At 51.4% G+C, this 24,149-nt stretch overlaps 2 protein-coding genes and 1 long non-coding RNA gene across 18 annotated transcripts in view, besides 2 other annotated features; 1 reads left to right on the forward strand and 2 right to left on the reverse strand.

Annotated features, from left to right (window-relative positions):
• LOC105377033 (uncharacterized) lies at nucleotides 1-18,861 on the reverse strand. The gene is made up of 2 exons (XR_940727.3): nucleotides 18,775-18,861; nucleotides 1-304 (listed from the first exon to the last, which is right to left on the reverse strand). It is a non-coding gene; the product is annotated as an uncharacterized LOC105377033 (long non-coding RNA).
• Nucleotides 1-20,536, forward strand: part of DLEC1 (DLEC1 cilia and flagella associated protein) — an 84,818-nt gene extending 64,282 nt beyond the window's left edge. For 2 of the 11 annotated variants that reach the window (XM_011534317.3, XM_011534318.3), the window contains 17 exons: nucleotides 4,095-4,248; nucleotides 4,916-5,026; nucleotides 5,943-6,073; nucleotides 6,601-6,792; nucleotides 8,188-8,258; nucleotides 8,721-8,872; nucleotides 10,853-10,971; nucleotides 11,494-11,564; nucleotides 12,964-13,169; nucleotides 13,284-13,400; nucleotides 13,486-13,611; nucleotides 13,719-13,813; nucleotides 14,038-14,122; nucleotides 14,317-14,535; nucleotides 16,959-17,120; nucleotides 18,139-18,292; nucleotides 18,800-19,633. In XM_011534317.3, the coding sequence (XP_011532619.1) occupies nucleotides 4,095-4,248; nucleotides 4,916-5,026; nucleotides 5,943-6,073; nucleotides 6,601-6,792; nucleotides 8,188-8,258; nucleotides 8,721-8,872; nucleotides 10,853-10,971; nucleotides 11,494-11,564; nucleotides 12,964-13,169; nucleotides 13,284-13,400; nucleotides 13,486-13,611; nucleotides 13,719-13,813; nucleotides 14,038-14,122; nucleotides 14,317-14,535; nucleotides 16,959-17,120; nucleotides 18,139-18,292; nucleotides 18,800-19,116 (2,482 nt within the window). In that variant the 3' untranslated portion in view covers nucleotides 19,117-19,633. Of the gene's footprint in view, nucleotides 1-4,094; nucleotides 4,249-4,915; nucleotides 5,027-5,942; nucleotides 6,074-6,595; nucleotides 6,793-8,187; nucleotides 8,259-8,703; nucleotides 8,873-10,852; nucleotides 10,972-11,493; nucleotides 11,565-12,963; nucleotides 13,170-13,283; nucleotides 13,401-13,485; nucleotides 13,612-13,715; nucleotides 13,814-14,037; nucleotides 14,123-14,316; nucleotides 14,536-16,071; nucleotides 16,108-16,958; nucleotides 17,121-18,138; nucleotides 18,293-18,581; nucleotides 18,706-18,799 lie in introns of those variants that run through there. The other 9 variants (NM_001321153.2, NM_007335.4, NM_007337.4 and 6 more) reach the window with 9 other exon arrangements.
• Nucleotides 7,890-8,708: an enhancer, noted in NCBI's record as "H3K27ac-H3K4me1 hESC enhancer chr3:38152870-38153688 (GRCh37/hg19 assembly coordinates)". NCBI's record gives its function as "activates a minimal SCP1, AML or CMV promoter by ChIP-STARR-seq in primed H9 embryonic stem cells {active_cell/tissue: H9 hESC(primed)}" and the evidence as "EXISTENCE:reporter gene assay evidence [ECO:0000049][PMID:30033119]".
• Nucleotides 13,779-14,737: an enhancer, noted in NCBI's record as "H3K4me1 hESC enhancer chr3:38158759-38159717 (GRCh37/hg19 assembly coordinates)". NCBI's record gives its function as "activates a minimal SCP1, AML or CMV promoter by ChIP-STARR-seq in naive H9 embryonic stem cells {active_cell/tissue: H9 hESC(naive)}" and the evidence as "EXISTENCE:reporter gene assay evidence [ECO:0000049][PMID:30033119]".
• The window catches only part of ACAA1 (acetyl-CoA acyltransferase 1), a 14,413-nt gene continuing 9,489 nt past the window's right edge, over nucleotides 19,226-24,149 (reverse strand). For 3 of the 6 annotated variants that reach the window (NM_001607.4, XM_047448057.1, XM_011533650.3), the window contains 5 exons: nucleotides 23,021-23,211; nucleotides 22,673-22,852; nucleotides 22,337-22,392; nucleotides 22,076-22,221; nucleotides 19,226-19,633 (listed from right to left, as the gene is read on the reverse strand). In NM_001607.4, coding sequence (NP_001598.1) covers nucleotides 19,558-19,633; nucleotides 22,076-22,221; nucleotides 22,337-22,392; nucleotides 22,673-22,852; nucleotides 23,021-23,211 — 649 coding nt within the window. In that variant the 3' untranslated portion in view covers nucleotides 19,226-19,557. Of the gene's footprint in view, nucleotides 19,634-22,075; nucleotides 22,222-22,336; nucleotides 22,393-22,672; nucleotides 23,212-24,149 lie in introns of all 6 variants that reach the window. The other 3 variants (NM_001130410.2, XM_006713122.1, NR_024024.2) reach the window with 2 other exon arrangements.

Raw genomic sequence — 24,149 nt, forward strand, 5'->3', positions numbered from 1 at the left:
CTTGTTTGCATAACATTTTATTTGCTTTATTATCTTTTACTTCAAAATTTTCACAAATAGGGCATTTGCTAGATATTACATTTCTTTGCATTCACAATTTGTCTGTTTGGCACAAAGCTAGCTTTCTGCCTGTGTCAGCTTTGAATGTGCCTTCCTCACTAAGCTTAATCATTTTTTAGCTTAATCATTTTGATTTAAAGTGAGATACGTACGACTCTTCTTTTCACTTGAAGACTTAGAGGCTATTGTAGGGTTATCAGTTGGTCTAATTTCAATATTGTTGTGTCTCAAGGAATAGGGAGGCCTGAGGAGAGGGAGAGAGACGGAAATGACCAGTAAGTAGAGCAGTCAAAATGCACACAGCATTTACCAGTTGAGCCCATTATCGTATATGATTGCTGTTTATGGCACCCCAAAACAATTACAGTAGTAACATCAAAGATCACTAATCACAGGTTACCATAACAGCTATAGCAAAAAAGTTTGCAAGACATGACACAGAGACATGAAATGAGGACATGCAATTGGAAAAATGACATTGATAGGCTTGCTCAATGCAGCGTTGTCACAAACCTTCGATTTGTAAAAATCACAGTATCTGTGAAGTACAATAAAGCAGAGCATAATAACATGAGGTATGTTTGTAACTGAATTTCTTATATAGGTCAATTTAGACTTTTTTCTTGGCCAGGCACAGTGGCTCATGACTGTAATCCCAGCACTTTGGGAGGCTGAGGTGGACGGATCACCTAAGGTCAGGAGTACGAGACCAGGCTAGCCAACATGGTGAAACCCCATTTCTACTAAAAATACAAAAATTAGCCGGGTGTGGTGGTGCACACCTGTAATCCCAGCTACTCGGGAGGCTGAGGCATGAGAATAGCTTGAACGTGGGAGGCAGAGGCTGCAGTGAGCCGAGATTGTGCCACTGCACTCCAGCCTGGGCAACAGAGCAAGACTCTGTATGCCCCACCCCATCCCCCCAAAAAAAGATTTTTTTTTTTTTCTCAGTTTTGGTAGTTTGCATCACTCTAGGAATTTAGGAATTTGTCCATTTTATCTGTGATGTAATTTGTTGGTACATAGTTGTTAGTGGTATTCTCTGATAATTATTTTTATTTCTGTATGATCAGTAGTGATGTCCCCACTTTCATTCCTGATTTCTCTAATTTGAATCTTCAGCAAATTTTTCTTGGTCAGTCTAGTCTAGCTAAAGGTTTATCAATGTTGGTGATATTTTCAAAGAACCAGCTTTTGCTTTTGTTGATTTTCTGTAATGTTTTTCTATTTTCTATTTCATTTATCTCTGCTTTCTAGTCTTTATTATTTCTGTCCTTCCACTTGCTTTGGGTTTAGTTTGCTCTTCTCTTTCTAGTTTCTTAAGGTAAAAGCTGAGGTTTTTGATTTGCAATCTTTCTTTTTTGTTTGTTTAAAGAAAATTGTATTTACAAATATAAATTTTCCTCTAACCACTCCCTTAGTTGCATCCTATAACTTTTCATATATCATGTTTTCATTTTCATTGATATAAAAGTATTTTCTAATTTTTCTTGTGGTTTCTTATTTGACTTGTTTATGAATGTGTTATTTAATTTGCACATATTTTGTTTCACAAATTTCTTTCTGTTGTTGATTTCTAATTTGATTCTATTGTTGTTGGAGAACCCACTTTATATAATTATAGTCGTTTAAAACTTATTGAGACTTGTTTTATGGGCTATTCTGGAGAATATTCCTTGTGCACTCGAGAAAAATAATGTATTCTGCTGTTATTGTGTAGAGTGTTGCCTGTTCTGTTTGGTTTATAGTGCTGTTTAAATCTTCTATTTCAATGTTTATCTTCTGGTTAGTTGTTTTTCCATTATTAAAAATGGGCTGTTGAAGTCTCCAACCATTATTGTTGAATTGCTGATCTCTCCTTCAATTCTGTCAGTTTTTGCTTCATGTATTTTGTGGTGCTGTTGTTAGATACATACATGTTTATAATTGTTATATCTTTCTAATTTATCTTTTTATAATTATAAAATATCCTTCATTGTCTCTAATAACCATTTTTGTCTTAAAGCCTATTTTATCTAACATTCATATATCTCCTGGAGCTCTCTTTTGGGTACTGTTTGCATGATATATATTTTTCCATCCTTTTTCTTTGAAACTATTTGTGTCTTTGAATCTAAAGTGTCTCTTGTAAACAGCATATACTTGGATCATTTTTTTAAAATCCATTTTGCTAATCTCTGCCTTTTGATTGGATTGTTTAATCCCTTTATATTTAATGTAAATACTGATAAAGTAGAACTTCATCTCCCGTTTTGCTATTTGTTTTCTGTATGTATTTTGTGTTTCCTGCATTCCTTGTGTTTCCTGCATTCCTCCATTATTGCCTTCTTCTTTGTTAGATAGGTAGTTTCTAGTATGCCATTTTAATTTCCATGTTTCTTTTACTTTTTAAAAAGTTATTTTCTTACTGGTTGTCCAGGGCTTTATAGTATATCTTAATTTCAAAACAGTCTGGTTTAGATTAACACCAACTTAATTTCAGTAGTCTGAAATGTTACTGTAATATAGCTCAGCTCTATTCTCTCCCCTTCCTTTGTACTATTATTGTCATACAAATTACATATTTATACATTATAGGTTTATCAAGACAGTTTTACAGTTATTGGTTTGTATAGTTGCCCTTTAAATCAGATAGAAAAGTAAGCAAAAATACATTTATTCTGTCTTTGTATTTACATATGAATTTATCTTGATATGGTTATATCAGTCAAGGCTTAATATTTATTTCTTAATAACCTATTAAGACATTTATTACAAAGAATCAGGTTACACAACTATAGGGACTAGCTAGGCAAGCCTAAAATCTGTAGGGCAGGTTTTCAGGAAGGGCATGCTGGCATTTTTGGGGACAAGATGAAGATGTTATAAACACATGGAATTTCTTTGTCTGGGTAAGCCCATTTCTGCTTTTAAGACCTTTTAGTGGCCAGGCATGGTAGCTCACCTTTGTAATCCCAGCACTTTGGGAGGCCAAGGTGGGAGGATCACCTGAGGTCAGGAGTTTGAGACCAACCTGGCCAACACACTGAAACCTCATCTCTACTAAAAATACAAAAACTTGCCTGGCATGGTGGCACATGCCTGTAGTCCCAGCTACTCGGGAGGCTGAGGCAGTAGAATTTCTTGAACCCAGGAGGCAGAGGTTGCAGTGAGCCAAGATCGCACCACTGCACCCCAGCCTGGGTGACAGAGTGAGACTCTATCTCAAAAAAAAAAAAAAAAAAAAAAAAGACCTTTCAACTAATTGAATTAGGCCCATCTAGATTATCTAGGATAATCTCCTTTACTTAAACTTAACTGATTATGAACATTAATCATACCTACAAAATACCTTCAGCCGTTCAGACATGTAAAGAGCTTGCCCATCAAGCTCCTGCTCTCACAACAAGGAAAGACTGAACAAACTGAAACAATGATTTTTCTTAGATCTATCAGAGAGTTGAGGTTGCAGGACAAGTGGCCACCCCAAAAGCTGGAGATATAGGCAAATACTGAGAATACAGATCAGTTTACCTGAAGCAGAAGAACACTTAAATGGTAGTTTCAACAAATTCCTGGTGGCTAAGTGTAGGCTAGCTTAAGAGTTTAAAAATCCTGGGGGCTCAGTAGGTTCTCATGGTGAAAACTGGAAAAAAAATTCTCTCTTGTTTAGCCAGGGTGGGATGGGGAGGGGAAGTAACCATTCTGAAATACGCCCAGAGGAAAAGTGAAATAAGCCACTTTGAAATAAGCCCAGAGTGTTCTTGCAACAATTTCTCTTACACCCGAGATTTCTACTTTTTGAGCAATTATAAATGGTACTATATTTTAAATTTCGATTTCCACATGTTTGTTGTTAGTATATAAAAATGTGATTCATTTTTGTATATTGATCTTATATCCTGAAACTTTGCCGAACCCACTCATTAATTCTAGAGTTTCTAAAAATATAGATACCTTGGGATTTTCTACATAGACTGCATGTCATCTAGAAATAGGGACAGCTTTACTTCTTCTTTTCTAATCAGTATGCCTTTTGTTTCCTCGTGTTCCAGCTACCTTCCTGTGTATGCTGAGGTACAGAAGCCCCATGTGTACCTACAGAGCAGCCAGGTGGAGGTTAGAAATCTCTACCTGGGTGTGCCCACGAAGACAACCATCACACTTATCAATGGCACGCTCCTGCCTACCCAGTTCCACTGGGGCAAGGTGAGTGAGCCCACAGCATCAGGCAGCAGTCTGCAGCCCTCAGCCACAGAGGCCCACATAGAGGGGGGCATTGTCCCCCAAATATCCTCACAGAACAGAGATACTCAGCCTCCCTCCCACAGCCTGTCCCTTGCTCGTAGTGTGCATAAAAGCTCCTCAAAGGAGCAGCATATCTGGTCCAGCTTTTTCTTGCCCTGCCTCTAGGGAATTCCAGTTCCCTGACCAAGAAGGAGTTTCTGGTGAACATAGCTAGAGCCTCCCAGCCAACATAGCCCATGACTGGCCCAGGTAGCTGTTGGAGCCCAGTTGTGGTGCTGCTCCTGCCCGTGGCTGACTGGGGAGCTCTGAGTGTCATGGGACATAAGGCCACATCCATGTGCACCAGAAGCATCTGCCCTCTGCTCCCCATCCCTCGGGGCCTTCAAGGGCAGTTTCTTTTGTCCAGATAACCTCCCAACAAGTGGTAAAGTCCATCCAGGGTTGGGGAGGAGAGGAGAAGGGACCCGTGGTTTATCCCCAGAAGTGAGCACCCAGCCCTGTCGGTTTTGCTGTGGGCCCCAGTCTGCCAGTCTCCAGCATTGCATGCAGCAGTGCTGAGCACTCTCTGGATACTGGTCCATTCTGGGAGCCCAGTAAGTGACAACAGGCTCACTCATGTGTCTGCCAGCTCCTCGGACACCAAGCAGAATTCTGCATGGTGACAGTCTCCCCCAAACATGGCCTGCTGGGCCCAAGTGAGGAGTGCCAGCTCAAGTTGGAGTTGACTGCTCATACCCAGGTGAGTAAGGCAATGTAGGGCCTGAGTGACCGGGAAGGCACCCTGCCAACCATACGCACCTGTGCCACCAGGGAGGCCCTAGCTTAGGCCACATTGCTGGTTCTTGTGGGTGGGGAAGAGATTTCTTGCATTTGGGTCTGGGGTCCCCATTCCTGCTGGGTCTGCTCCCTAGGGACACATGGTCAGAGAGCCTGGAGTAGGCCTGGGGATGTGCCCTGAGACCCACTGGCCATGCCTGGCCTTTGGCATGAGTTTTTGCCCTCCCCAGGCCATTCTCTGTGGCCGCAGGTGGGCCCAGCTTTCTGATTTGCCCAGAGATCCAGAGCAGAGCTGTTGCTCACAGCAGGCACTGTGCCAGGTACTACCCAGGGAGGCTAACTGGTACCTAGGTTTCCCGCTGGAGGCCACCAGGGTGGAATATGCTCAGTCATAGGGCCGTTCCTAGCTGTCCCTTTGTGGTTCTTGTGGGAAAAGAAACTTCCTCCTTACAGAGACTTGCAAACTCAGGTCTCAGCTCCCCCTGGCAAATATGGGGATGGCCGGCCTGAGCTCTGGGACGACAGACAGGCAGGCCCAGGTGTGGAACAGATCTTGCTCAGGGAGGGTTTGATTTCTAGGGTAGCAGCTTCATCAGAGGAAGTGCGCAGCTTCTCCAGAGGCCCTCTCTGAGGGGTCTCCCTTCACGTGGGCATGCCCAGATATTTGGGGCAGACTCAGACAGCCATAAGGCCTGAGGAAAGGGCCAGGCTTCCTGGGGCTGAGGGCGGGTCGACTGGCTGGGCTCACTGGAGGGACTGGAGATGAGCCTGGCCAGAGGTCAAGGCTCCACAGCAATCCCCTGTGCTGCGGAAGACCATCTGGGCTCATCTTCAGAGGCCCCAGGCCTGGTCTGACCCCTGGATGGGCTTTCTTATAGGAAGAGCTGACCCATCTGGCCCTCCCTTGTCACGTGTCAGGCATGAAGAAGCCACTGGTTCTAGGCATTTCTGGGAAGCCCCAGGGACTGCAAGTGGCCATTACCATCTCTAAGGAGAGCTCTGATTGCAGGTGAGCCCAGGGTTGGTGGTCTGGGGGTGGCAGTGGACTGAGGAATGAGGCAGCCGCGCCCAGGACCAGCACGGCACTGTGGTATCAGTCTGCGCCCATCTGATTCCTGCAGGCAGGAAAACGCCACAGTGTTATTGCGGCCACTCACCACTCCTGTGGGGACAGCTCCCTTTACCCCATCCCTGCCCTCTGTGTGGTCTCCCCACACACACTTGGAGGCGTGGTGCCCTGGCAGGCAGGAGATGGCAGGGGACAGGGCTGTAGGTACCCTGGGCTTGCCCACATGAGGCCCAGCAACTGGGAGCCATGCCAGCATGCCGCTGGCCAGGGACGGTTTGTGCAGAGTTTGAGGCCTCTCTCAGCATCATGGGTGGGCAGGAAAGGTGGGTCTGTGGTTGGCAGCTCAATGAAACAGGAGTCTGAGGATGAAGCCTGGTGTCTGGGCAGCTTCTGCATGCCCACCCAAGATGGCTCCCTGGGCAGGGCCAAGGGTGGTGTGTTACATAGTACCAATGGGCACAGGACAGTGTTTTCAGCACAGAGCAGTGGCCAGGCCACCCAAAGGAGCTCCGCCTGGACTTTGGCTCAGCGGTGCCACTGAGGACCCGTGTGACTCGCCAGCTCATTCTCACCAATCGCTCCCCAATACGGACCCGTTTCTCCCTCAAGTTTGAGTATTTCGGGAGCCCCCAAAACAGCCTGAGCAAAAAGACCAGCCTGTAAGTCTTGCTTCTTTCACTTCCCAGGGCAGATGAAGCTGGATGGGGTGTACCCTGTTGAGCCTCTGTGTGGCTTAGGTGGCCAGTGGCTGGTCGGTGTGAGAGATGGGAGTGTGTGTTTTTACAGGTAGACATGGGGACAGGCAGAGAGGAAATGGCTCCTGCTGTCCACCTCCCGGGCCCTGAGTGGGCGTGTGGGAGAGGCTGGGATTGCGGCCCCTTTTCCTCAGCCTGGCCTGCTGGAGTGGAGGCTTCTGATGGACCAGGCAGATGGGCCTGTAGTGAGGGAGAGGTTACTGTAGACAGAAGGAACTGTGCAGGCCAAAGGGTGGGAGGAATAGTTCAGGAGTAGGGAGTCTTCAGGGACCACTGATAGCGTGCCTGGGCTGACATGTGGAGAGTGAGATGGGGTGCCCCATAGATCAGACAGTGATCAGCAAAGCTACTATGTGTAAGGACAGAGGCAAGATCTAGAGTGCTGCTTACACAGACACACACACACACACACACGTACATATACACACACATGCATACACACATACATATACACATGCATACACACATACACACATGCATATACACATATACATACACATGCATAGACACAAATATACACACATACACATATGTATACACATATACACATGCACACACACATATACATAAACATACATACATATGCACATACATACATGCTCATATACACACACACCCACATACACACATACACATAGGTGTGCCAGAACCAGCTAGCACTGGTTCAGGAGAACTGATTGTTAAATATTCAGGAATTTTGCAAATCTCTAACTTGAAATCAAACATTATAATTTAGGACTTTTTTTTTCTGGAATCTCCACTGTGTGGACACCTCACCACCTAATCTAGTGAAGCAAGAGGGCCCAACTTAGAAACCACGGCTATGGGTGGAAGGCGACCCATGAACAGTTTATAAGGCATTAACTTTCTATTGTGGAAAGCTAGTGTGTACCCAATGCTGGACAGATGTCAGCAGGAAAAACTGGAAATGGGCCTGTTGCAGAATTCTGGGCTAGAGATGGGGAGTCTGGGCTGGGTTTGTGTCCAGGAGTAACCATGGCACAGAGCCTGTGGGCAGGGAGTCCTGCTTCAGAGCCCGCCTGGGTTTCTGGGGAGGTAATCCCTGCAGCTGGCGGGTGGCCCGCAGCTGGGGATGTTTGAATGGTAGGGGTACAGTGGGAGCAAAGACCAGAGAAGGAGGTAAAGGAAAGAACTGACCAGCTCTCCCCTGGGAAGAGCAGGCAGGGCCACCTTCCTCTGCTGGGCACCTGGTAGAATGCTGGTTGCTCTAGAACCTGGCTCAGGTCTTGGGACAGGCTTGTCTGACTTGATACTATTTCTGTGTCTCCACTTGTAAAGTCCCAACATGCCTCCTGCCCTGCTAAAGACAGTGCGGATGCAAGAGCACCTGGCCAAGCGAGAGCAGCTGGGTAAGCGCCACCAGGGTGGGGCTTCGGGGCCCAGGCCACGGCCAGAGCCACAGCCTTCTGTGGATGTGGGCTGGCAGCTGCCAGGGAGCGGGACCAGGACCAGAGACTGCTCTCAGATGGCCAAGGCGCTCCACCTGACAATGCCTCTTCCTGTTGAGGCCACTTCCCTTCTAGGGCACAGGCTCATGCACAGGGCCTGGACTCCATTTGGGATGGGAGTGGCTCATGAGGGAGGGCTCCCATGGGGACCCAGCCTCTCAGGGAGTAGAGAGGCTGACCACGCAGGACCCTGAGTAGCTTGCCTCTGGATTCCAGGCTCCCAGGAGGAGGGCACATGTAGCCTGACCAAGGAGAGGCTGGAGGGTGGCTTATCGGGGACAGTGCTTTGCTCACACACGAGGGTTTGGACCTCACTCCCAACCCCAGGCCCGTGAATCCCCCACAGTCGCGGTTCTTTCCCAGATTTTATGGAGAGCATGCTATCCCACGGGAAAGGAGCTGCTTTCTTCCCTCACTTTTCCCAGGGCATGCTGGGGCCCTACCAGCAGCTGTGCATTGACATCACAGGCTGTGCCAACATGTGGGGCGAGTACTGGGACAACCTCATCTGCACGGTAAGGGTACACAAGAGGGCAGTGGCCTGGGGGGTGGAGAGTCTGCCCAGCCCTCGCCTTCAGCCTCTCTCCCCTCCAACACCTGGCCCTCAGACTCTCAAACCTCACCAGGTTGAAACGCGATGCCCACCGAGCTTGGGATGGGCATTCGTGTCTGAGGCAGCCTCTGGGGTTCTGGCTGAGGCATTTCAGGCAGGAGGGGTCCTCATAAGCAGTAGAACTTTCCACACCTTTTCCCAGGAGATGCAGGGCTGGGGCCATATCGAGGAGGGAAGAGGAGACAGTAGGCTGCTGCCTGGGCCAGGACCCAAGACTTGGAGTAGGGAGTGTGGAGTGGAGGGACAGTAGCAGCCTCCCAGAGCCAGGTCCTTGCCCCGCCCTTGGTGGGGCTCACCCAGGGGTCCATTTAATTGCTCCAGCACTCAGCATAAATGGAGTATCTACTGTGTGTGGGTTCCTGTGTGGGCCGCTGTAGTGTGGAGGATACAGGGATGAATAAGGTAACCAGCAAGGCACCCCTAGTTTAGTCTGGAGGGATGAAACCTGCATACGTTATCCTACCGTTAAGTTGTTAAATAGAAGATTTTCATGAACTATTTAGTAAATTGAACAGATTAATTATAGTAGATATTTGCTTTAAATTGTGTGTGTTCTGTATGACAAAGAATTGATCATGTTAATATAAAAAGGGATCTTAAGTAACAGGAAGCTGGGGAAGAGTATCCCAAGTGGGCAAGGTTTGAATAAACAACTCCAAGAAAGACAAATACAGACAGACGGCCAATAAACATATTAAAATCTGTCACCACCACTGATAATTAAAGAAATGCAAAATAAAAGAGCCACAAAATACTGGTTTTGACACATTAGCGAGGTTTAAAAGTTGTTGGTGAAGATACAGGGGAAAGGGTGCTTTGAGCCCCCTTCTCCACGTCTGTCAGTAGAGGAGTGGATACAGACATTGGGCCACATCCCTAAGGGAATTCTGCACAGCCTGTTATATGATGCTGTAAACTCTTTATTAGTAAAAATTAATCCTATATTGTTCGCTGGGTGCAGTGGTTCATGCCTGTAATCCCAGCACTTAGGGAGGCTGAGGTGGGTGGATGTCTTGAGCTCAGGAGTTTGAGAGCAGCCTGGGCAACATGGCAAAACCCCTTCTCTACAAAAAATACAAAAATTAGCTGGGCGTGATGGCATATGTCTCTGGTCCCAGCTATTCAGGAGGCTGAGGTGGGAGGATCACTTGTGCCCAGGAGTTAGAGGTTGCAGTCAGCCGAGATCATGCCACTGCACTCCAGCCTGAGCGATGGAGCAAGACTCTGTCTCAATAATAATAATAATAATAATAATCCTATATTGTTAAAAGAAAAGATTATTAAAGGCATGTGCAGCATGCTCCCCATTTATATCTGGGTCTTCACAAAAGAAGTGTAGACACTTGTACACTGAAATGCTAACAGTAAGTCATGCTGCAGAGGTAGGATTGGAGGTGATTATCACACTCTTATATTTTCTAAAAATAAGATTTATTACTTTTGATTAGCAGAGAAAAGTAATAAAGTTCTTTTCATTTAAAAGACAGAAATTTGATCAAAGGGACTACCAGAGGCCGAAGAGCCTCAGGCTTGCCAGGTGCAGTGGCTCACACTTGTAGATCCAACACTTTAGGAGGCTGAGGCAGGAAGATTGCTTGAGGCCAGTAGTTTGAGACCAGCCTGAGCAACATAGTAAGACCCTGTGTCTACTAAAAAAAAAAAAAAAAAAAAAAGTCCTCAGGCTGGGAGCTTTGTGCAGGCTGCCTGGCTGGGAGGGAGAGTGGAGATGGCGGGAAGTGGGAGAGAAGACAGAGTGGTACACAGTGAGGCTGGGACCAAACTGTGGGGCCCCTGGGCTGGCTGGACAAGTGGAGGCCTTGCCCAGAGGGGATGTGGTCGCAACCGGTGACAGGAGTGACAAAGGGCTGGGGTGTGTTTGCAGGTGGGAGACCTGCTGCCGGAAGTCATCCCAGTGCACATGGCAGCGGTGGGCTGCCCCATCAGCTCCCTGAGGACCACCTCCTACACTATTGACCAGGCCCAGAAGGAACCAGCCATGAGGTGCTCCATGCTCAGCCTGAGCCTCTGCTCCCTGGTAGCCCCTGAAACCCTCCGGCCTCCGGGCTGGGCTGCCCACGTTGGCTTGTTATTCTCCAGCTGGCCTAGGGCCATTGGTGCCACCTACAAGAAGGTTCCAGGCCAGGGTTTCCCTGGGGGAAGGTGGCCTCAGGGGACGTGGCCACCACCTGGACATCTCTGAGGGATTTTGTGGGGCAGAAGTGGCGAGTAGTCAGTGTGGTCCGAGGTCAGCACCAGCCCTGGGGCCCCTGGCACAGTTGAACTGGAATCAGCATAGTCTGCTCAGGGCAGGTGGGTGGGTTGCCAGGGCACAGGGCAGCCCCAGAGCCCAGCTCACCTGGTGCCGCCTGGGGAAGGCACCAGCCCCAGGTCTCATTAATTCTCGAGTGAGGCCAGACCACTGTGGTATTTCCCCCTGCCTGAGCCCCCAGTCCCAGCCCTCCTCCCTACCTGCAAGGTGTACGCTGGCTGTGGCTGTACTGAGTCCAGTCTGTCCCCCTCCAGGTTCGGCACCCAGGTCTCCGGAGGAGACACAGTTACCCGAACCCTTCGCCTGAATAACTCCAGCCCCTGTGGTAAGACATGCATGAGAGAAGTCAGTGTTCTTGCCACAGGCTGTGCCTTGTGGTGAGCCAGGCTGGGAGGGAAGGTGGGAGGGAAGCCGATGGCCCATGAACAGGACCCAGGTGTCCAGGGGGCCTGTGGTTACGGAAGTGTGGATGGGCCCACAGATGCCCTGCTCTCATCAGGGTTGCTGTTTGGAGGAACAGACAATAAGAGGGGATCCCTTTCTCATTCCTCCAGCCGGCAGGACCTGACCTGCCTGAGAGCTGCTGGGGATACAGCGGGGACAGGACAGCAGGGTTTCTGCCGAGGGGCTTCCCTCCTGATGGGTGGGACAGATGTGACTGTGGACTGCAGTGTGTGGAGTGTGTGGCATACAACTGAAGGGAAGGCCGGAGTGCTGGGGGAACGTGTTGAAGGGCCAGGCTCCCCTGTGGAGGGGAGGCAGAGTGTAGGCTGAGTCTAAGAGGAAGGGTAAGCCGATGTGGGCCAGGGGAGCATGTGGGGGCAAAGAGTGCTCTGGGCCTGAGAAAGGGTTAGGAGAGGAAGCTGGTGACACTGAAGAGGGGGCCCTGGCCATGCCTGCCCCTGAGGAGAGCTGCGAGCAGGACTGAAGGCAGGAGGGGAGGGGAAGATGGGTTCGATGCAGGCAGATGTCTAGGTTTGGGACAGGACTTTGGGGACTTCTCAGCTTGGGGGCTTCTGGGAGATGAGGTGGGGCTACCGGCTGGGTGTGGGAAGGCAGATGGAGGTGTCAGAGGAGGGCAGGGACAGCTTGACATTGTCATGGTGCAGGCTGGAGAGAGAGCAATGGGGAGCCCCAGCTTAGGTTGGGGACAGATTGATGGGGGTGGCAATCTGTTCAGCTGGGGGACTTCCCCCAGTGGTACTCAGAGGGACGGCACAGTTCAGTTCTTTCAGGGTTAGGTGTTGCCAGGTGGGTGCAAAGGGAGATACGAGGATGCTGGCAAGACAGAGGTGGACATGGCGGCCCCCAAAGACTAGTCTGCCTGGGGAAGGACGTGAAAGCTGACATAGGCTGATGGATAGATGGGGAGAAGGAAGGGCATGTGGGGGTTAGAGAGCCCAGCCTGCCCACAAACAGGCCGGAAGGAGAAGCAGCTGTGGGAGAGAGCAGAGCACCTGCATTCAGGCATCTGGACATGGAGACCTGGTCTTGTGACCATGAGGACTTCAGGTGATAGAGCCAAACGGCATAAGCCTGTAAAGCCTTTTTAAAATTTTAAATGAGAATTGCCTGGAAGTGGCATTAGAGAGGCAGAGAGGCACCCCCTCCACCTGGGTATGGGAGAATAGGTCATCTCTGTCTGGGGGTATGAGGAGGAGGGGGCCCCGGGGGGTTGTCTGCTCCTCCCTTATTCCTCACCCTGCTCCACACATCTGCCCCAGACATCCGCCTGGATTGGGAGACCTATGTTCCAGAAGACAAGGAAGACCGGCTGGTGGAGCTGCTGGTGTTTTATGGGCCACCTTTCCCGCTGCGGGACCAAGCCGGGAATGAGCTTGTGTGCCCTGATACCCCTGAGGGTGGCTGCCTCCTCTGGTCCCCAGGCCCCTCCAGTTCATCGGAATTCAGCCATGAAACTGACTCATCAGTGAGCAGGGGTGGAGGGGCGGGGCAGGCTGGCCACTGAGGGCCACTGAGGTGTGGCCAGTAGGCTAGTTGAACCTCAGTGACTGCGTGAACCTCAGTGATTCCTTGGTGACAGGTTGAGGGCAGCTCCAGTGCCAGCAATAGGGTGGCACAGAAGCTCATCTCAGTCATCCTGCAGGCACATGAGGGGGTGCCCTCCGGCCACCTGTACTGTATCAGCCCCAAGCAGGTGGTGAGTTGGGGTATGGGCTGGGAGCTGTCTGCATTGGCCGGCCAGTGGGCATGGGACAGTGCTAAGGCTGCTGTGTCTATGCCAGGTGGTCCCTGCTGGGGGCAGCAGTACCATCTACATCTCCTTCACCCCTATGGTGCTCAGCCCTGAGATCCTGCACAAGGTGGAGTGTACTGGCTACGCCCTGGGTTTCATGAGCTTGGACAGCAAGGTGAGCTCTTCCGGCCTGGGGTGGGGGCCGCAGCCACTGCTCCCTCCTGGGTAGCATGCTGCCTACTCAGCCCAGGGATCAGCTGTGATCAGACTTGGGCTCAGTAGGTGGAAAGGGAGATTCCAGGGAAGAGGCATCGCCTGCAGGACTTTGCGGTGGGACCCCTGAAACTGGACCTGCATAGCTACGTGAGGCCTGCACAGTGAGTCAGCTGGGGTGCCCCATCTCCTTTCATCCCCATGGGGTGCACCCTCACCAGGCACTGGTGGAGCCAGGCAGGGTTCTCAGAGCAAAAGGACGGGCATGGGTGGAGAAGTCAGCAGAGGAGCCCAGGGAAAGGCTGGCCCGAGGCTGGATGAGCAGAGTGGGGGCAGCCAGAAGGCCCCAGGCGCCCGGCTTGCCCCAACAATGCCTATTGCTGGGCAGGCTAAGTGTGGAGCTGGACTACGGCGGCAGTATGGAATTCCAGTGCCAGGCCAGTGACCTCATTCCCGAGCAGCCCTGCTCTGGGGTGAGTGTGCTGCCACCCTCTGGCCCTGCCAGCTTACCTGGACCTCAGATGTCTCTGTGTGCCCTTGTGGGACTCAGGCCTTATAGTCTGAGCCCAAATCCCCTCCCCCAGCCCTCCCAGCCCTACCCTAGAGCCATGGGGTTGAAGAGAGAGACAAGATGCATTCCCTGCCTCCTACCTCTGTGGCTGCCCAGGTGCTGAGTGAGCTGGTGACCACCCACCACCTGAAGCTGACCAACACTACAGAGATCCCACACTACTTCCGGCTTATGGTCTCCAGGCCCTTCTCCGTTTCTCAAGATGGGGCGAGCCAGGACCACAGAGCTCCTGGCCCTGGCCAGAAGCAGGAGTGTGAGGAGGAGACAGCCTCAGCGGACAAGCAGCTGGTGCTCCAAGCACAGGAGAACATGCTGGTCAGTGGGGGAGTCTGCAGCCCTTGCCTCGATGGCACACCCTCACATGTGTACAGACAGCACCCCTGCACGCCACCCTCAGGTGCTTGTACCCAGACGCAAACTGCATGCCTGACCCTGCCATACCCTGCATGAACACTCGGGGGTGCACTCCCACCAGAGACACCACATTCAGCACCTCTGCACAAGTGGCTCACATGGGCATGGCCACACCAGACGTTGTGTTCACATACATGCATGCACGTGCTCCATAAATGTCCCCAGACTTCCCTTTCCCTCTTAGTCCCCACTGCTGAGATGCTGGTGGAGGCTGATGCATTCCTGTGAGCACCTCCCCTTCCCACACACACAGACTCCGTCCTCCTGTGCAAGCTCAGGGTTTGTGTCCCAGCTCAGGTGAGCCCATGGGGTTGCCATAATTGTAAGACACTCCAGGTTCTAACGTAAAATTTCCTCTTCTGACTTATTCTCAGTGACAATTGGATCCTGGATTTTCAGAGTTGGTTAGGTAGGGGAAGGTCTTGGGAATGTCAGGACCTCACTGGAAACCATCAACTTCCTCTGGTCTCTGAGGCAACTGGAATGAGGCTGAGTGTGCGCACACCCATATCTGCACAGTGGGCTTCCAGGGTGTGCAGAGGCAGGCTGAGGGTAGACAGCGCCGCCCTGTCTCCTACTTCCCCTCCTGCTTCAGAGGCCCTCTTTCTTCTTCTCGGAGGGCTTCCCTTTATGCTGTGCTCCCTTGAGCTCTGCCAGGTCCTAGCCTCACTCTGCACATTTCTGGGTTGTCTCATCCATTTCCAGAGCCTCAGTGAACAGCCATATTATTTCTATCCAATGTATACTCCACTGTGTAGCGAGGGCCTGCTGTGTACTAGATGCTGTGCTAGGTGATGGTACTCCCCGAGGACCTCATCATGGAGGTCAGGGACACACACGGATCTGCAGAAGACAGAATGGCACCCTTGACCCACTTTGCGTTTGCTCCCTTCAACGAGCTAAATGGATGGGAAGGCCCAGAGCACAGCCAGAGGTTCCATTCCACCAGAGCTTCCAAGGAGACACGGCGGTTAGCCACCAGGCATTTAAAAGTCCTTGGCAGCTCTGGGGAAGCCCAAAAGTTCCAGAAAAAGGACATCACATAATTAATGGTGCTGCATCTCACCCTCCATGCGCTAACAATGCTCAGGCTTCTGGCTCCTGGCCAGAATTATCTCCCAGGCTCTAGAGCCAAACTCAATCTGTCCAAAGTGAACTCCCCATCCCCTCCCCACCTTGTCCTGCCCCACATCTGTGCCTCCTTTTTGTGGTGGCATTTTGTCTCAGCAAATACCAACCCCAGCCCCCTTGCTCATGCCCAGAGCTCTGGCACCCCTTGTCCTAGACCCATCTCTGACCAAGCCACCAAGCCCTGCGGATGCCCCCTCCTAAAGTTCTCCCAACACTATTCTCTTTTCTTCATCCCTACACCCATATCTTGGTTTAGGACAGCAGTTTCTAAGCCTGGCAATAGATCAGTGGCCTTTTTTTTTTTAGATTGGGTCTTGCTGTGTCACCTAGGCCGGAGTGCAGTGGCGTGATCATGGTTCACTGAAGCCTCGACTGCCTGGGGGGTTCAAGCAATTCTCCCACCTCGGCCTCCCAAGTAGCTGGGACCACAGGTGCATGCCACCATGCCCAGCTATTATTTGCAGAGATAAGGTCTCATTATATTGCCCAGGCTGGTCTTGAACTCCTGGGCTCAAGCGATCCTCCCAACTCAGCCTCCCAAAGTGCTGGGATTACAGATGTAAGCCACTGCTCCCAGCAAATTAGTACCCTTGACAAAGCTTGTTAAGGCAGCAGCTCCCAGACCCCACCTCCAGACATGTGAAGGTCTGGGTGAGGCGCAAGAATTTATATTTTTAACAAGTGCCTCACCGTTGATTCTGAGAAGCTTGTACCAAGGACCTGTGCTGGGAGCCAGGAGTCCAAGCTTCATCCTGTCCAGCCTCAGTTACAGCCTCAGCCCCTGGTCTGGCATCATCACACTCATGTGTGGTCTGCAGCCCACCTCCCCACCAGGTCAGTGACCTGTCAGAGGCTCCTCACTATCCTCAGCACACAGACCAAGTCCTTCCTCTGCCTCTGAGCCCAACCACAGCCCTGGGCATTTGAAGCTGTAAAGGGCAACTTGCTCATGTCCCTTCCCTTCTAGCCTCTGACCTCTGAGGGCAGACATGACTTGTCCCTGACACTAGCAGGGTGCTGGGCAGAGTAGGTGCTGGGCAGCGCTTGTGGAATGAAAGCACCAGGTTGGGGAGCTGCTGGGCTGTTGGCTGGGCAAGGCTGGGCCTGGGAGGAAAGGAGGATGGAGCTCCAGGTGGGGAAGTGGCCACCTGCCCTCTGCAGCCGGAGTTGACACCATGTCCACATCTGCTCAGGTGAACGTGTCCTTCTCACTCTCCCTGGAGCTGCTCTCCTATCAGAAGCTCCCAGCTGACCAGACACTGCCTGGGGTGGACATTCAGCAGAGTGCGAGTGGAGAGAGAGAGATGGTGTTTACTCAGAACCTGCTCCTGGAGTACACCAACCAGACCACTCAGGCACGCCCCAGGCCCACCTACATGTGGAGGAGGGTGGAAGTGGGCTGGGCTGTGTTCTGCTGGGGCCAGAGGAGGAAAGACCTAGCAGGGCCCTCAGAAATAAGGAGCCCCTGCCCCTGTCCTGGGGCTCAGTCTCCCCTAGAAGAGGCCCTGTGTGCAGAGAGATGAGGGCCATCCAACCTCACCTGCCTCATGAGCTCAAAACCAGGTGAGGGGCCAGAGTGTGGGAAATCAGGGAAGGCTCCCTGCGGGAGGAAGGACATGAAGCCTGAACACCATTTAATCAAGGAAGGGAAACACGTTGACAGCCAGGCCAAAAGAAAGGCCTGATGGGTGGGACAGAGCACCTGAAGCAGCTGCGAAGGACAGCCCTGGGGCTTGCCAGGCTTCAAGCACCAGGGCGAGCACCATGGACCAGGTCACCAGGCCGTAGTGTGGAGGCTAAGCAGGGGCTGCTAGTAAGGAGTGTGAAGGAGTGGCCTGGGGAAGACTCTAGAGAGGCCGGGGGCAGGAGGCTGAGCAGTGGAGCCGAGGCGCTCTAGCCTGGCACCTGGGCAGCTGCTGGGGCTGAGGCTGTGGGATGGTGCATGGCAGTGCCTGAGTGTGATGCAGGGGCTGCCAGGAGATAGAGGAGGGCACAGGTGGGGCCTGCGGCCAAGGAACACAGACAAATGGTCCACGGCTGAGAGGAGCTGAGGGCTGGGCCTTGGGGGCCACCACAGGAGGAGCAGTGAAGGAGGGCAGAGCCCAACCAGCCAGGGTGCAGGGACTGAAGCTTTATGAGTTAGGGAGGCAGGGACAGCGGGGGAATGGATGGCATCACCCTGGCCCTTTCCCTGTGCAGACTCCCAGTAGCAGCCTGTGGCCTTTTAAGGTGGCGCTGGTCCCCTGCCAACTTCTGGGAGCTTCCCGTTTTCTTCAGGAGCATCAGCACTTGGGGTCAGCAGGGTTCTGTGTGTCCCAGAGGCCCTGGCTCAGAGCCCACCCAGAATGGACAAGGTTGCCTGGTCTCCCACAGGTGGTGCCCCTGCGGGCTGTGGTGGCCGTGCCTGAGCTGCAGCTCTCCACCAGCTGGGTGGACTTTGGGACCTGCTTTGTGAGCCAGCAGCGAGTCCGGGAGGTCTACCTGATGAACCTGAGCGGGTGCCGAAGCTACTGGACTATGCTGATGGGTATGTCCTACCCTGCCACCTACCCACCGTTCCCCTACAGGGCTGTGCCAAGAGAAGACCCCCCAGGAAGGGGCCCCTGTGCGCCGTCCCTGCATGCTGGCTCCCAGGGCAGGCACCACTTGGAATTTCTGCAGAGCAGCCAGTCCCCCAATCCCACATGATCTCAGGGTTGCCCTGCCCTGCAGTGCTGAGCAAGACCAGAGGTACAGGCCCGGGGGTGGGTAAAGTCTTCCTGTGGGAGTACATGGGGCTGCCTGCACTCATGTGTCTTCCCTTCCCTTTGGTGCAGGCCAGCAGGAGCCAGCCAAGGCCGCTGTGGCCTTCAGGGTCTCCCCAAACAGTGGGCTGCTAGAAGCACGATCCGCCAATGCACCCCCAACCTCCATCGCCTTGCAGGTTTTCTTCACTGCCAGGTGCAGCCCCTTCCAACCTTCCCCAAACTGCCCACAGAGCCTGGACCCCCTGCCCAGGTGCCTCCTAACCTCAGCCCCCACATGCTCCCCACAGGAGTAGTGAGCTGTACGAGTCCACGATGGTGGTGGAAGGTGTGCTCGGTGAGAAGTCCTGCACCCTGCGGCTCCGGGGCCAAGGCTCCTATGATGAGAGATACATGTTGCCTCACCAGCCCTGAGGCTCCGCCCCAGCCCTCAGCCCCAGGCCCCAGCTGGAGAAAAAACATTGCCCAGGGATTAGGAGCAGCTCTTCAGCACAAAGACACAGACTTGGGGACCTGGGGACCTCTGGGCAGCTCCTGGAATGGAAGAACCCCCTTCCACAATGGTCTCAGCCTAGGCCCTCATGATATGTCCTCAGAGCTAACATAAAGGACAGGCCACACCACAGCAGAGACCACCACATTGAGATCACTACTCAGTGCATAGCGAAGACCAGTATGGCAAAATTAGTCTTGGAAAAAAACCACAGCCACTAAGATAAATTCATGCACTTTTACTATGCCCATTGCACTTCTCATCCATGGATTTGCCTTGCCTTAAGAATTAACCATGGCCTTGTGGCCTGGGTGACCCAGGCTGCTTTTATCTTGCACAGCTAAAGAGGGTCTGATGGGTGGCTCAACACCCCACCCACTCCTATACCATGTCATCAGTGTTCACATTTTCCAAATGAGTTGAAGTGCCTTGATCTGTCCACTGCCACCACCACCAGTGCTGAGTTTTCCCATGTGGTTTTGCTTTTGTGGTGTTACTGCCTTGCTGCTAGAGCAGCAGGACTGTCTGCGTAGCGCCTCCAGCCTGGGACCTCACTCAGTTCCCAGGGTATTCAAAGACGGCAGCGGCTCCCATTCCAGTCCCGATGCACATGGACACCACTCCGTATGCCCTGTGAAAACAAAACTTAATTGGCTGGGCAAAGGCACCCACCAAATTACCTCCAGACCAGGCTGACCCAGAAGGACGTCATGGACAAGTAGGATGCAAAACCATCAGACCAGATCTGTGGGCAAGCGGTACCCTGGCCTCCCACTTGGGCACACACACGGTGACAGATGCCCACTGCAGGCTAGTATCCCTTTCAAGGCTGGCCCTTAAGGAAAACAGGGATCATGCCCCTACATCCTAAGTTCAGGGTGTTTCTGTGTGCATGTTCCCCTCCCCAGGGATCGATCATAATCCCAAAAGACACAATCCCAAACACAATCATCCCAAATGTTGAAATCCTGGAAGAACAAAATCCCTAAAGTCTAAAATCCTGAAAATCACAATCCTAAAAGATCAAAATCCTGAAAATATAATTCTGGAAAAAATAATTTGGAAGCCTGGCCTGGTGGCATCTACTTGTAGTCCCAGCTATTCAGCAGGCTGAGGCAAGAGGATCACTTGTGCCTAGGAGTTCAAGACCAGCCTAGGCAATATAGCAAGACCCCATCTTAGAAAAAAACTTTTTTAAAAGATTGATTTAAAAGATATTTACATTTTTAGGCCAGGTGTGGTGGCTCAAACCTGTAATCCCAACACTTTGGGAGGCCGAGGCGGGAGGATCACGAGGTCAGGAGTTCAAGACCAGCCTCGCCAACATGGTGAAACCCTGTCTCCACCAAAAATACAAAAATTAGCTGGGTGTGGTGGCAGACACCTATAATCCCAGATACTCGGGAGGCTGAGGCTGAGGCAGGAAAATTGCTTGAACCCAAAAGGCAGAGGTTGCAGTGAGCCGAGATCACACCACTGCACTCCAGCCAGCCTGGACAACGGAGTGAGATTCCATGTCAAAAAAAAAAAAAAATGTACATTTTTAAAAGGGGATTTATTTGAGAAACAAAAACAACAGAACACTTCACAGGCTACTTTACACAATAAAATAGAAAATAATTACAAATTTCTGCAAGCATAAACACTCAGGTATGCTAACAATAGTCACAGGATTATAACAATTATAAACAGACAAACTGTATTCATAAATAGGTTAAAAGCAAACTGTATAAATTGCTGGTAATCATGTGCACCCAGCTTTATAACTGCAGTCATATGAATACCATGATGGACAACCTACGTCTTTTGATGAGATTGATCAAAAACTGATAGAGCCAGGCACTGTGGCTCACACCTGTAATCCCAGCACTTTGGAAGCTAAGGTGGGAAGATCACTTGAACCCAGGAGTTCCAGACCAGCCTGGGCAACATAGCAAAACCCTGTCTCTACAAAAAATACGAAAAATTAGCTGGGTGTGGTGGCACCCACGTGTAGTCTCAGCTACTCAGGAGGCTGAGGTGGGAGGATTGCTTGAGTCAGGGAAGCAGAGGTTGCAGTGAGCCAAGATGGAGCCACTCCACTCCAGCCTGGGCGCCTGAGTAAGACCCTGTCTCAACAAACCAACCTGTGATGGGTCACCACTGCACAAGTAGTCAACCAAAGAACCAAGATCTTGAGAAATTTTATCTTTCACAAACGCAGGTGCACAAATAGCACACCTCTTTTACTGAGGAAGTTTCAACATTTTTATGTACATGCACAAGGCTTACAAAGTCAATGTGATAATGCACTTTCATGGAATCAAATTTCTGATGTCCAAGGCAGAAAAAAAGTGTGTCCCGGCTCTGAGAGAGACAGTTCACCTTCTGTATTTGTTCTCTCCAGGGCCCCAGGCAATTAGCTGATGCCTGCCAACACTGAGGGCGGATCTTCCCCACCTGGTCCACTCAGATGCACACACTAACCTCCTCTGCAAACACCGTCACAGACACACCCAAAGCAATGCTTTGTCAGGTTTCTAGGTATTCCCAAAATTAAGTCCATTCCTTGTCAACTTAGCACCCATTCACATCTCCTTAAACCATACTTAATTCAAATAAAGACAATAACAAGGTAATGGTTGCATCATATTAGTTACATGGTATAACTAATATGATGCACTATCCTGCATACAGCGGAAAATGCACTAATCCCTTCCCTAGAATTCATAACATGAATTCAACATTAGGATTTCAACATTCAGGATTTTAATCTTTTGAGATTGTGATTTTTGGGATTTTAGACAGTAAGGATTTTTCTCCTTGACTAGTCAAGTGTAGAAGTAAGAAGGGGGTAAAGAGTAGAACATGGAGTTTGATCTGTAACTGAACAATCAAGATAACTCACTACCTCTGGACCAGCCAAGACCTTAGGGACTTTGATCTTTTGGGATTTCAACATTTGGGATTATGGTGCTCAGGACTGTGTCTGTCGAGATTATGATCCAAAGCCCACCTACCTCTATCCCCTGCCCTTCAGGTGCCCTAACTTGGATATCCCCCTATGACCCCACCGCCAGGAGCAAAGCCTTACCTCTTCCCACGGCGCTTCAGCTCATTGAGCAGCGTGATGACCTGTCGTGCCCCAGTGCAGCCCAGTGGGTGCCCTAAGGCCACTGCACCCCCCAGGGGGTTCACCTTCTCAGGGGGGAGTCGTAGCTTCTCCACACAGTAGGCAGCCTGGAAGGAGGCAGATCATCACCTATAGCCCTCTTACCCCTCCCCTGCACCACCTGCCCGCTCACTCCACCTCGGCTGTCCAGGGCAAAGGCAACATTGAGAAACAAGGGCTCACCTGGCTTGCAAAGGCCTCATTGATCTCGAAGATGTCCACGTCACTCACTGTCAGCCCTGCAGACAAGGTAAAGACCTGAGCTGACACACTGGCCCTCTGCCTCCCCTGGGGCCCACCCCATCCATGGGCCTACAGGCTGCCTGGTGTGTGTCTCTTCCAGAAGGGTGAGCCAATCCCAGCTGTGGGGTCAGGAAGGGCTTGAAGTATGGGACACTAGCCTGCCCCACCTCCACTCTGCAGCACCCACAGGACCACCCTCATGCCCCTGGCAACAGCATGCAGGGCAGCTGCAGGATCCAGGTGGGACCCAGATACTATATGAAGGAGCCACCTTACCTGCTTTTTGCAAAGCTACTGGGATGGCATAGGCAGGTCCAATGCCCATGATGTCAGGTGGGACCCCAACCACTGCATAAGACCTCAGGACCCCAAGGATGGGAAGGCCCAACTCTTCTGCCTTGGACCTCCGGGCCAGCAGGATGGCAGCTGCCCCATCACTCACCTGGCTAGAGTTTCCTAGGGGCAAACTGTTGGGGTAAGAAGGCATCGGGGTGGGGATGAGGAGATCCCAGCCCTCCCACTTCTACTTTGCAGAGGGGCCTGGTCTATTCCAGGTTCCCAGAGTACAGCACCCAGCATGGCCATGGCCTGCTTTCTCATACCCCTACCCCGGACCAGTCTCACCAGCTGTGGTAGAACCATCTTTCTTGAAGGCAGGCTTCAGTTTGGCCAGGCCCTCCATGGTGGTGCTGGGGCGGATACCCTCATCCTGGGTCACAGTGATGCTCCTCTTGGTGCCCTTGTCATCATGGACCGTGGTGGTCACAGGCACAATCTCAGCTTGGAAACAGCCCTTGCTCTGGGCTCTTGCTGCCCTGCCAGCACCATGGACAGCCAGCTTCAGACTCCCTTGGGGTTCCCTTCCTCCCTGCCCCCAACCCCTATCCATTTGGGTAGACACAAGCTCAGGCTGCTAAATTCAGGGACATGCTCGACTTTGGGGGAGCTCTGAGGGCATGGCTAAGGCCTTACAGGGCCTTCTTCACCATCAGCCCCAGACCTCCAGATCGTGGCCAATCCCAACCTCAAAGGGGGGAAAGGGTGTTTGGAAGTGGTGCCTCCACTTAGAGCCCTTTGTCCAAGAGGGATTAAGCCTGCTTGATTCTCTCTGCTAAACTGAGGATGGAACCCCAGAAATATCTGTGCTGGGTTCTGCTAACTTTTCTGCTCAAACTCAACAGTTCGATGTCATCTATTCCCCAGTTTCCGCCTATTTAAAGTGACATATACTAAACTACTCATGTATTTTTGTATTTAAGCAATTTTAAAGCACAAGGTATTTAAGGGTGACCCTTGCAAATATGTGCAGCATGTAAGTGCCCAGGGACATTCAAGTGGAAGGAATCTAAGGCTTCTAACACATTTTCAAATGGTTATGTGACCCAAAGTGGCTAAGAATCACTGCCTCAGGGAAGCCCACCTGGCCCAGATACCACTCCCTGCTTTTGCTTTCCTCTCTGGACAGCCGGGACTTGCCAATCTTAGCCTGCCTGAGCCCCTGGGGTTTCTCTGATATCGTCCTCAGTTCTTGCCTCAGGATGCTGCCACAGACCCAGCATGGTCCAGAAGCTAGGATGCCAGAGTCCCTAACATTGCTGGCCCCACACTCCAGGCTACAATGTCCAGTCCCCAAACCGCAGCCAGAAAATAACAGAGGGGGAAACTGAGGCCTAGCTAGGGCAAAGTCAGGGTGAACAGACAGTAATAGAACCTGGAAGTACTACCAACTCACAGTGGCCCTGACACTTCCTAC

Source organism: Homo sapiens, chromosome 3, assembly GCF_000001405.40.
Source record: "Homo sapiens chromosome 3, GRCh38.p14 Primary Assembly".
Classification (NCBI taxonomy): domain Eukaryota; kingdom Metazoa; phylum Chordata; class Mammalia; order Primates; family Hominidae; genus Homo; species Homo sapiens.